Here is an 11,653-nt window from a genome sequence, read left to right as displayed (position 1 = left end):
TGTTCTCACCTACTGATAGGTCAATTTATGGGCTTGCAACTCTGTGAGTACACGTATCACTAGGAAACCAGGCTCTCCACAGGAGTTCAATAATCATGAGTGGTTGGGGCAATGTTAAAATAAAAGAGAAAAGGCCAAGGATAAAGTTTGAAAAAGCATTTGGCTTTTATTTTCCCTCCACAGAACAGGAAATGTGGCTCCAGTGCAAATAGGTATTTTAAAACACCTTTCTACCTCAAATTTTTAACATGTGCTATTGCCAATGTTCAATCTGTCCATTCAGTCCTAGCCTCAATATTACAAAAATGAAACTGATGTATAGAAAATCTGACCTGAGTAAGTGGCTAAAATCACTACCTTTTGGGCCAAGGCAAGACCTTACTAAGTGAAATAGCATTCAGTAAACCAATATCTACTCTGGCTAATGTCTGATGAATGCTTACCATGTGCCAAAACTGTTATCAACACTTTAATTATAACTATTTAATACGCATAGTAGTCCTATAAGGTAGGTACTATTATTCTTACTGTTTTACAAATGAGATAATTGAATTATAGAGAGCCATTGTCACATGGCTTGAGAGTAGCAGACTGAATATTCAACCCAGGCAATTTTACTCTAAACTGCACTTTTAACTATTATACTACTCTTATTCTGGGGGTGAAACGCCATTTAATAGTGGAGAAAATTATGTGGCTTACAAAATATGAATGTAGAATAGTGTGGGTTGCTTTGCTTTGGTAAGATGTTCAAGTCTAGCAGCTTTCTCAGTTTCATGTTGCTGTTTCATGATTCTAGGTAACTTTACAAGGATTCATGCTACATAAAGAATAGTATGTGTGATTGTAAACAATACTTGCTCAAAGCAACGATCACCTCTGTGCTTTGATTTAGTTTATTTCCATTCATTTTTTTCATTGAACACTCATGCATGGAGTGCCTACTGGATAAAGTGCACAACTTTGGTTATCAAGACATTGTTTCTGAACAGAAGAAGTGCACAACATATAAGAATATATAGATATGCAAGAAACCAATTGTGATAGTAATCGCATAGGCAATGAAAGCTACCCAGCTGTGTGCTAACCTTTAATGCTCCATAGAATATGTAACTCCGTGTCCGTCGAATTTCCAGCCCTGCTCTTTCACCCACCTGGCCACTCAACTGTTCTGCCTCCTTTGAAACATCTCCAAAGATTCCTAGAAATAGCCAGTGCGTGGTTCTTCTAGTACATACACTGATCTATCAGCTGCAGGGACTTTATCGTAGACACATTGATAAAGCAAGCCACAGGAGGAGAGGAATAACATTCTCCTGTTCTTATAAAATTGCTGGTGGGAACTTCACTGTGGTTACTGTTGATGTTGTTCCTAAGCCACTCTGCTTTTCTGTGCCAGAGTGGGGTAGGAAAATTGCCCCTGCTTTGGTCTTAGTTGAGTTTAATCAATATGGTGTCTGAAACAGAGCCATCAATGCCCAGGGTCTCACAGACTTTCAGAAAAACAGTCTCCAGCCATGACTGTCACTCTTCCCTCTAAAAAGTCAACAACCTATTCAAGGAATTAGGCAGGGAAATATGCTCCATTATTTTCCATTTCTGTTTATCTCTCAAGAGCTTGAAACAACCAGTGAAACAAAAACACAACATTTCCTTCTCCTTTAGCCAAAAAACTAAAAGTCTCATCCAAAATATGCAAATTGTGTCCATCAACCCATTAATAACGCACGGAATCTGACTTAGGTACAACATCCTGCTACACATAGAACATGGTAAGTGCTATAACGGAGAAATGAACAGTGGTTGAGCTCTGGGAGTCATAGAAAGCTTTCTTGAGGTAGTAACTCATAGGCTCAATCTTCAAAAATTAGCAAGAGTTCATTGTTCAACAAAGAGACATTATGGCATGTTGGACAAAGGGAATGAGAAATGCAAAATGTTGCATGTATGAAGGAGCTTGGAGTTCTTGGGTGATTGTGGGAAGCATAATATGCTTGGGGCACAAGTTGTGTGACAATGTGTGTATGTGGGAGGCAGCTTGGGAAAGTGAGAGTAGAGGAAAAGAATGAGACCAAATTCAGAGTGACAACTATTCTGAGATATTTTCAGTTAAAATTTTTCCAACTGGCTCTCAGTAAAGCTAAATTTCCATCTATCCTTATTCCTAACACACTCTTTAATTCTGTTTAGGGAAGAGGAGAAGAACGATTAAAAGGAATGTACACTGCAGATGCACAATAAATGCCAACATATTTAATTGATCAGGAACTAGAAGGGCAAACTGAATAATGCAATACAGTCTGGGAAGTTTTGTCTTAAGCAGAGTCTTTTCATAGTTTTAAACATGATGATCTTATCACTTGCCTTAGTCAAGTTTCGGTGTTCATTACTTGTTTTTATTTAGACTGAAATAGTGGCCTATGATCCCACAACAAGTACACAGTTGAGACTGAGATTACTATTTGGGAGATTTTTGTCATCCACTAATCTGAGTTACATTAGGAGAGCTTATTCCTAAACCCTCCATACTTTTAGCCCCATCCCTCATTTTTCCCAGCAGGTTAGTAGGAAAAGCAAGTAGAGCCTTCAGTCCGTGATTTTGTTTCAAGTGGAGCTCACCTAGTCCAATAGTCCTAAATGTGAGGGATTCCCTTTCTTTCTGCCCTCTTTTCCTCAGGCCAGTATGTTGCTGATAAAGAGCAAGGGAGTTCTGGTCGGGCGTGGTGGCTCTCGCCTGTAATCCCAGCACTTTGGGAGGCCAAGGCAGGAGGATCACGAGGTCAGGAGATTGAAACTATCCTGGCTGACACGGTGAAACCCCGTTTCTACTAAAAATACAAAAAAATTAGTCGGGCGTGGCGGCGGGCACCTGTAGTCCCAGCTACTCGGGAGGCTGAGGCAGGAGCATGGCATGAACCCGGGAGGCGGAGCTTGCAGTGAGCCGAGATGGCATCACTGCACTCCAGCCTGGGCGACAGAGTAAGGGAGTTCTCCAAAAATTTAGATTTCCGTCTGTTTGTTTATTCAGGGATCTAAACTAGAGTGCAGGAACAATGAGGAATTCCACTGTTACCACACATCTAAGCCATGTTCTCCATGCTGTTACCTTCTCATACTCATAGTTTGATCTCTTTCTGCCTAGCTCTCATGTCTGTCTCTGGATTGTTTCAAATCCTAAGAGAAAAGGAATATCATTTATTGCCTCTTGCAAAGTAAATACTCCTCTATTTAACTGACGGGATGAACCAATGATGTCATTTAACAGTTTGTTTGTTGGTGATCTCTACTGCTGAAATCTCATTAACATACACATTTACTCCTTTGATCTTCACGATAATCCCATGGAATTGGCAAGTAAAAGGCATTATTGACATTTTACAGGTAAGATTGTTTCTCAAATGATGGAGTAGCTCTCTCAGCCTATTTAGCTCTCCGGAACTCGGTGAAGTCCTGGATTCACAGTGCCACAATAATAATACAGTAGTAGGATTCTAATATTGGAATTACAGGGGCATTGGCATGGAAAAGGGTGGCTTTATGTCTTTGCTCTGGCCCTTCCTCATTAGATTCTTAGGTCAATTACTTCAGCTCTTTGGGCACAAGTCTCCTACTCTGTAACATCGAGATAACAATCACTATCTCTGAGAGTTGTGTAGATTAAGTAAGAAAACATATAAACAGCAGTACCCCTCTAACATCATTATTGTTTAGTAACAAAGGTCAATGGGAAGTACAGTGTGCAAATGAAGGGAAATGGAGATTCAGATATTTATTCCAATGCCTTGCCATGGCCCTCAAATTCAGATTCCTAGAAACAAATTTTTACCTACACCCATATGTGCTTGCATTTCAAGGATTCATTAGGTCTGATCATCTGCTATTAATGCCAAAAAGCTGCTTGAGCTTGGTTGCTTTACAGTCTCTCTTTATAGCTTTGTAAGGTTAGGAAAAAAATCCCTGAAATATCATTGTGGGGCCATATTTATAAATTGTCACAGGTGTTGCTGGACCACTGTGAGCACTCAAATTTATTTTTACAGTCATGCTCACTTTCATGTAACTTTGGGTCTTTCATTTCGTCAATTAATGACTGTAGTAAAATAATGTGGAAAATCACATAACACCAATATTCCAATAAAATAATTTGTTAATGTTTAATGTAACAGTAACATTGCTTTAGAAAATATCTAGCAAATGTATTGAACATACATATCCACACCTTCTTCCCAAGAAGGGATTTTGTTGTTCATTATCGTGTTAATGAAACAGTTAAGTTAAAACAGGGGGTCAGATTTAGTTTTTCTTTCCTATATATAAAAATAGTCATGTAATTTGCCCCTCTGTCATCAAAAGTAAATGTATTAAGGGAATCAATGGTAAACATTTTCCAGTGTTATCTTCAGCTTCGTTCTTGCTTGCTGTCTGAAAGGAGCTGTTGCTGGGGGAGGTGTATAGTATACCTTCAAGAATGTTCCTACTTTTGACACTTAGGGTAACTTCAAGAACAGGAGCTTGGAAAATCTAAATTACTCATCTCTATTCTGTATGATTATTGCTGTCATTCAGTTGAATGAAATTAAACTTGCCACTTGCATCATCACACAGAACCAAATTATAGAACATGTTTTTTAATAATGTTATTTCATTTAATTAAAGAGTAAATGGAATTCTGCTTTGCTTCAATTATTTGATATAAAATATACAACATTGAATAAAAGGGAAAGCATTAAGTTTCTGCGAGAAATTCAGTAAATAAAATTAAAATTGGAAAGAGGCACTACCCTTAGATTCTATTTATGCAACTATTCTTTTCATTTTACTTACCAAAAAGGCTCACCAAAACCTAGAATTTTCCCACTCCTACTGCCTTGCTAAATTTTGGCCTTGTGTTATGTTTTCATGGTGGTGGGGGAATCTTCTTTTGAAATACTTTTGTTTTTGGAGAGAAGGATGAATAATTTCTAACACAGAGAAAACAATCAGGCAGCCTGGGGCAGATCTTCCTCTTGGTTCTCACACTTTTTTCATGGTACCAATTTTTTAAATGTGTAAATTTCACTTGAAAATTGGGATGAGTGGGTTGTCTTGAAAAGAAATAAAATCTGGTCACACTGAACCCACATTTCTGCATGATCAACCTCAGCAGAAGCTGGGACATGTGAACTCCAACTGCCTAAGTCCCCACCAGGCTCTATTGTCTTTCCATGCCTGCCAGACTGCTTGACTCAGTTAAGATGCTGGAATGACTCCTAAAGGCATGTATGTATACATTTGTAAATTAAAAAATTTATTAATTTTTAAACAGCAGAAGAATGCTTAAAAGGGAGGGAGAGGCAGCCTCCAAGTCTACCTCTGATTACTTTAAAAATGTTCCTAGAATAGGTGTGATCTTAGGCAATTTTCTCATTTGTAAAACCAGATATAATATTTGTAATTCCTATCTTTTGTGGTTTTATGACAATCACTAAGATGCTGCATATAAAATATTTAGCATAATGACTGGTACTCATAGGTGTGCAATAAATGTTAGCTATAAGTGTTTTATGACAGCAAAATAGATGTAGTTTTAAAAATTGACTTTGAGTTTCTCTGAGTAGCAGATGCCCTGTTTCAGGATCTTTGATTTTCAGTTGCACTGTTCCCATTGAATACACTGGGATAATTGCCAGTAGACATGCTGCCTCTGTCAGTCTGGGTGAGATCACTTGGTCTTGAGCTTCGCGCAGGGTAATGAGTGTATTAGGAAAAACTGAAGCAAACATGTGGGTGGATATTTCTTGTCAGAGCTTTGATTTGGATTCCTTGCAGAACAACAGAAATATTCATTATATTTTCATTTCTCAAATGCAAAGAATAGCAGAGTTTCAAAAACAGGAGAGTGAGGCACTACCCTAAAGGAAGTTGTTTTAACACATTTAAAGCAGTCTCTAGGAATCAAGGCATCACAGATATTTTCCTATTATTTCTCCTGCTCATTATTTGGCATCTTTATTTGTTTTGATCCCTTCCTACAGACTTGCCAATGTTAATTTGCTGCAAATGTGATTTTTGGACCAGCAAAGGGTCTGCAGCTCATGCAGAGCATAGTAGATCATTAAATAGATTTCTGATTTACTGCCCTTAATATCTTCTTCAGGAACAGCAATAGAAGCTTGTGGTTGGGGGCGGAGGATCTCTGATTACAATCATGGGTAGAGAAATGGTTTCTTCTGATATTTTTCTTTCAGAGAGACTAAGCAAAACTGCCATACAGTTTAACAGTACCCTTCTTAACTCACTGCAGGTTGCCATGGAAACAGGAATCTCACCTCAACATGAAAGGCATTTAGGAAATCTGTTAGGTTTTAACATTAGCATGATCTAAGCATCCTTGCTCACCACTAACAAGTCTAGCATCTCTTTTAGAATATCATTAATACTCATTAAATTTCCCTGCACATGGTTTTGGAGGTCTTCATATCATATTTGATGTTTTTTTAAATTTTTTTGTGAGTGACCATCTTATCAGAGAATATGCATTTTGAGAACTATACTTAGCTCATCTAGCACATGAAATAAGACTCACTTTTACTTACACTGTTATTTTCACATGATCTAGATTTAGATTTTAATAGAGAATAGCATGATTCCAATGGCAATTAAGAAAATGTGCTAATACTTGGGAAATTTATTTATAAGAAAGAAGAACCAAGTGGGAATTTTTGTTCTGTAAACAAAGTTTAATATAAAATGCCCCTATTGTTACTTGTTTGTGCAGGGTAACTTTTAGGTTAGCTCTCATATATGAGTTTAGTTTTGCCAAGTAATTTAATTTTAGCATTTGTTTTCTAAGACAGTCTACTTAGGAATCTTAAAACACTTAAAAATCTTTTAAGATTATGTTTCTGGCAAAATCAGTTCGACTTTTTGGTTTGTTGAACTATAAAATGTGATTCAAGAGCCACTAATTTGCTTAAAGCAACTATAGTAATGGCTAAATCACCATTTTCTTCTATTTTACAAAAGAAGGAAAATGTAGGTGTACTTTTAGGGAAAAAATGAGAGAAGATCTATAAATTATGACTCAAAATCTTCCTTTTTTAAAAATGTGAAACGAAAGAAGTCACTTGTTGAGCAGTCAATCTTCTCCAGTTGACCGTGACTTCCCAAATTGGTATATTTCTTCCCCTGATTGAAAAATTTATAGTGGCTCTCAATGCTTATTCCTGGCATAGAGCAAGTGGTAAGTTGTGATGAACACAGACTTTGGAATGAGAAAGCCCAAGTTTAATTCTCAACTCCATTGCTTGCCAATTGGGTGAAATTTCACAAGATACTTTAAGCCCCCTGCACCTCTTTTCATCAAAAGTTGTTATAAGAATTAAGTTAGACAATGCATGTGCCGCACTTAGACTTCTGCTATAAGGCACACATACTGGCACATAATACATCCTCAGTGAATCCAATTACAAGTAGTATTATTATATTAATTTTATAGCTTGGATAATTCAACAGCACTGGTAAGCCAGTATTTCTCTTTTTACTAAAATCAAGTCTCTTAGCAGAACAGCCAACCAGGTATAAATTGGGCTGCTTGTAGCTCTCCTTCTTCTTGAGCTTGTTGTTTACCTTTGGAAAAAGTGGATTAGTAATAAAATGTCCAAAACCCAGAGAACAGATAAGAGAATAAAATATTAAGAAAAAGCACAAACCGGAAACTTGATTTTTAGGTGGGATATTGAAAAAAACCAACCAACCAGTCATTTCTAGTTGAGAAGAGTCAGAGTATGTCTATAAGCAGTTCGTTCATTGGCTTGTGTAGCTTTGGGACCATAATCAATTAGTGCATAATAAATTATTTATCACGAGCAGATCCAGAGTCCTATAGGATTATTCTAATTTGGTGTTTAATTTCTTTTACGTTGAGGTTTGAAGATAAAATGAAGTATATCCCTTTCCAACCCACCTCGAATCAAAAGGGAATAAAGAAAGTAGTAATCAGATGGAGACAAAAAGTCAGTTTAATTAATGACTTAATTAGCTCTTAAGAATGTTGTTTGGGGTAACAGTGAGATTTTTAAAACTGTACCCCATTATTAGGCAAATATAAACACCCAGTCCTGGGCAGCACTGGAAGAGAGCAGCCTTCTCTCCCCAGGGGAAGAGATTACCAGTATAAAACTCACAGCAGGAATGAGAAGAACAGAAAGCCTGCTCACAGCAGGCAGGCGGCTTCCAAGGGCAAAGAAAGGAGAGAGCAACTGAGATGTCTAAGGCCAGTACCTGCTCTGGCCAGCAGCAGAGAGGAGCATGTATTCTTTGGAGACAAGCAAATGAAAAACTAAAGAAGCTATAAGAGAAGGGTCAAGCCATGCATTCTCAGCTTATTTCCCTAAGTACCAATCAGATAAAGAGGTAGTAAGAGAGGCCAGGAAGTCTTACTCCAATGGATGGTAGTCTACCTTAGTGTGAAATAAGTGTGCTGGTTTGCTAGGGTTATCATGATAAAATACCCAACTGGGTGGCGTAAACAAAAGTAATATGTTTTGTCACAGTTCTGGAAGCTAGAAGTACAAGATCAAGGTATTGGCATGTTTTGTTTCTTCTGTGGCCTCTCTCTTTGGCTTGTGGGTGGCCACCTTGTCCTTTGTCCTAATGTAGTCTTGGTGTTTCTTCTGTGTGTTTGCACAGCCCCAGTCACTCTCTCTCTCTCTCTTTCTGTGCATGTTCAAATTTTCTCTAATAAGGACACCATTCAGATTGCATTAGGGCCCACTCTAACGGCCTCACTTAACTTAATCACCTCTTAAAGGCCCTATCTTTAAATACAGTCACATTTTAAGATACCAGAGGTCAGGGCTTCACTATATAATTTTTGAGGGGATACAGTTTAGCTCATAACAATATGTTCACCTTAACAGCACAGTAATACCTATAGATTTTTCATTGCAATTAACACTTTGCTAACTTATTTATTTTCATTTATTCATTTTTTCACTTTAAAAAATCTTGCCTCTTAGCTTTTTCAGGAGTTAAGCTGCCTTCGCAATGAGGATCAAACCTGCAGCTTACAGCTTATAGACTCGATGTATGTAAGCAAAATGGGGAATTGCCAAGTCTACCTTAAAATGGCCATTTGCCATACAGTTACTTGATAGACCCATTAAATTCCAGTAAATTCAAAATGTTCCAATGTGGCTAATTATTCCAGAAATGCCAATAAAAATGAAATGTGATGTTCCCCACCCTGTGTCCAAGTGTTCTCATTGTGCAATTCCCACCTATGAGTGAGAACATGCGGTGTTTGGTTTTCTGTCCTTGTGATAGTTTGCTCAGAATGATGGATTCCAGCTTCATCCATGTTAAAAAAATTATTTTTTTAAATTATAAGAATTATATTTTATCAAAGATTTGTTTTGTTATAGTTCTATGTGATGTGGGGTTCTAAAGTCCCATAAAATTATTCTTCTGGAGAACAGCTTGTTTTAATAAAGCTGAACACTATTAGAGAGTAAGAATAAAGATAAAGCCTGTTACCTTTCGCACAAATAACTATGAATGAAAAGAAATTAAGTGAAGCTATGAAGAAAAATCATTTGTTCTTTCACAGCATCTTTGTATGGAGACATCAAGAACTTTATAAATGCTCATTAGTTATGTGATGCGCTGCACCTTGAAAATTCCCTCTTGTCTTAGTGCATTTTGTGCTGCTATATCAGAATAGACAGACTGGATAATTTATAAAGAAGAGAGATTTCTTACAGTTCTGGAGGCTGGAAGTCCAAGGTGGAGGGACCCACAACTGGCAAAAGTTTTTCATGCTGTGTCATCCCATAGCGGAAGGCAGAAGTACAAGAGAGCTCAAGAGAGCAAGGGGTGGGAGGTTATCTTGCTTTTACAACAAACCCACTCCAGTGATAATCACATAAATCCATTCATGAGGGCAGATTCCTCATGAATCTAATCACCTTTGAAAGGCCCTGCCCTCAAAACTGTTGCATTGGGGATTAAGCTTCCAATTCATGAACTTTGGAGGACATATTCAAACCATAGTGCCCTGTATTCAAATCTAAAATCTTTGGATCTTGCAACCAGACCGTGGAACAAAGAGAATGAAATAGAAGCTTTTTCAAGGATATTTAGATCCATGTGTAGGCACCTATGTTCTGCTCACCCTTTGAATATGCTACATAAATTGGGAAGAATTAGGACCAGGTCTTCCCCAGACTTCTGGATCATACTTCAATGCATAATTAGATAATAGGGAAAATTGAATTAAGAAAAAAAATTCAGCCCTTGTGGTTTTGTGTTAAAATTACTGATAGGCCTGGGGCGGTGGCTCATGCCTGTAATCTCAGCACTTTGGGAGGCCGAGGCGGGTGGAACACCTGAGGTCAGGAGTTCGAGACCAGCCTGGCTAACACGATGATGCCATATCTCTACTAATAATACAAAAAATTAGCCAGGTGTGGTAGTGGGTGTGTGTAAACCCAGCTACTCGGTAGGCTGAGGCAGGAGAATTGCTTGAACCCAGGAGGTGGAGGTTGCAGTGAGCTGAGGTTGTGCCATTGCAATCCAGCCTGGACAACAAGAGTGCAACTCTGTCCCCCCAAAAAAAAAAATTACTGATATTAATATCAAGAACTAAGATTAATTGAATCCTAATTCTATTAACAGCACTGCTAAAACATTTGAAATTTCATTATTTTAAGCTGCTCTTGCACATAACTACCATGGCACTCTGCAAAGGGCTGACAAAAAACTAAAACATGGAATGAAACATGGTGTCTGGCCCCATGGTGCTTATAGTCACTGGAAAAGTAGACATTAACAACTATATAACAGCTATAGTACTTGCTCACGAAGTCAAAGTTAGTTATTGAAGAGAAGCACAGCAAGCAAAGGCTCACTGTGTCTGGATAATCAAGGAAAGCTTCACAGAGGAGAAGGCAGTTAGCCTGGATGGTGAAGGATGAGAATTTTATAGCAAAATATTTTCTAAAAGATTGAGGCAGAACATAAGAGAAGGACTGCTTAGAAGAAATATATATGATGAAATATAATGAGTGGAATGTTGGAGGTGAAAAAACAGATTTTTTTTGTTTTGTTTTTGAGACAGAGTCTCGCTCTGTCGCCCAGGCTGGAGTGCGGTGGCGCGATCTCGGCTCACTGCAAGCTCCGCCTCCCGGGTTCACGCCATTCTCCTGCCTCAGCCTCCGGAGTAGCTGGGACTACAGGCGCCCGCCATCAAGCCCGGCTAATTTTTTTTTTTGTATTTTTAGTAGAGATGGGGTTTCACCATGTTAGCCAGGATGGTCTCGATCTCCTGACCTCGTGATCCGCCTGCCTCGGCCTCCCAAAGTGCTAGGATTACAGACGTGAGCCACTGCGCCCGGCCGGAAAAAAACGTTTGATGTTAGATAATGGAGGGCTTTCATAAAGTTTTTGAGAAATGGGAGAAATAACCTGATTTTTGCAACTGGAAGACGTCTGCAAGCATGGGGAGAGTGGCATGGGGATAGGAAAGCAAGTGGTGAACAACTTTTCCTGTGAAAACATCTACTCGCCAATCTTAGATTTTTCAAGGGCAGCCTGAACATTATGTCCTTTCCCAAGCTAATTTATTTTTATGTACCCAAGAGCTTTGAACATGTAGTCACTTGAATGTAACATC

At 38.3% G+C, this 11,653-nt stretch overlaps 1 long non-coding RNA gene across 2 annotated transcripts in view, besides 1 other annotated feature; it reads left to right on the top strand.

Annotated features, from left to right (window-relative positions):
- The first annotated feature begins 3,065 nt into the window (after window positions 1–3,065).
- Window positions 3,066–11,653, top strand: part of LINC02791 (long intergenic non-protein coding RNA 2791) — a 33,693-nt gene continuing 25,105 nt past the window's right edge. Inside the window, exons 1-2 of one of the 2 annotated variants that reach the window (NR_183660.1) lie at window positions 3,066–3,381; window positions 9,000–9,071. This is a non-coding gene — a long non-coding RNA (long intergenic non-protein coding RNA 2791). The remainder of the gene's footprint in view (window positions 3,382–8,999; window positions 9,072–11,653) is intronic. The other variant, NR_183659.1, reaches the window with a different exon arrangement.
- Window positions 7,808–8,472: an enhancer, noted in NCBI's record as "OCT4-NANOG hESC enhancer chr1:69709807-69710471 (GRCh37/hg19 assembly coordinates)". NCBI's record gives its function as "activates a minimal SCP1, AML or CMV promoter by ChIP-STARR-seq in naive H9 embryonic stem cells {active_cell/tissue: H9 hESC(naive)}" and the evidence as "EXISTENCE:reporter gene assay evidence [ECO:0000049][PMID:30033119]".

The sequence above is a fragment of the Homo sapiens genome, chromosome 1, assembly GCF_000001405.40.
Source record: "Homo sapiens chromosome 1, GRCh38.p14 Primary Assembly".
Taxonomy (NCBI): Eukaryota; Metazoa; Chordata; class Mammalia; order Primates; family Hominidae; genus Homo; species Homo sapiens.
The sequence above is the reverse complement of the archived record's forward strand: the minus strand, read 5'-3'. Positions and strand labels throughout refer to the sequence as shown.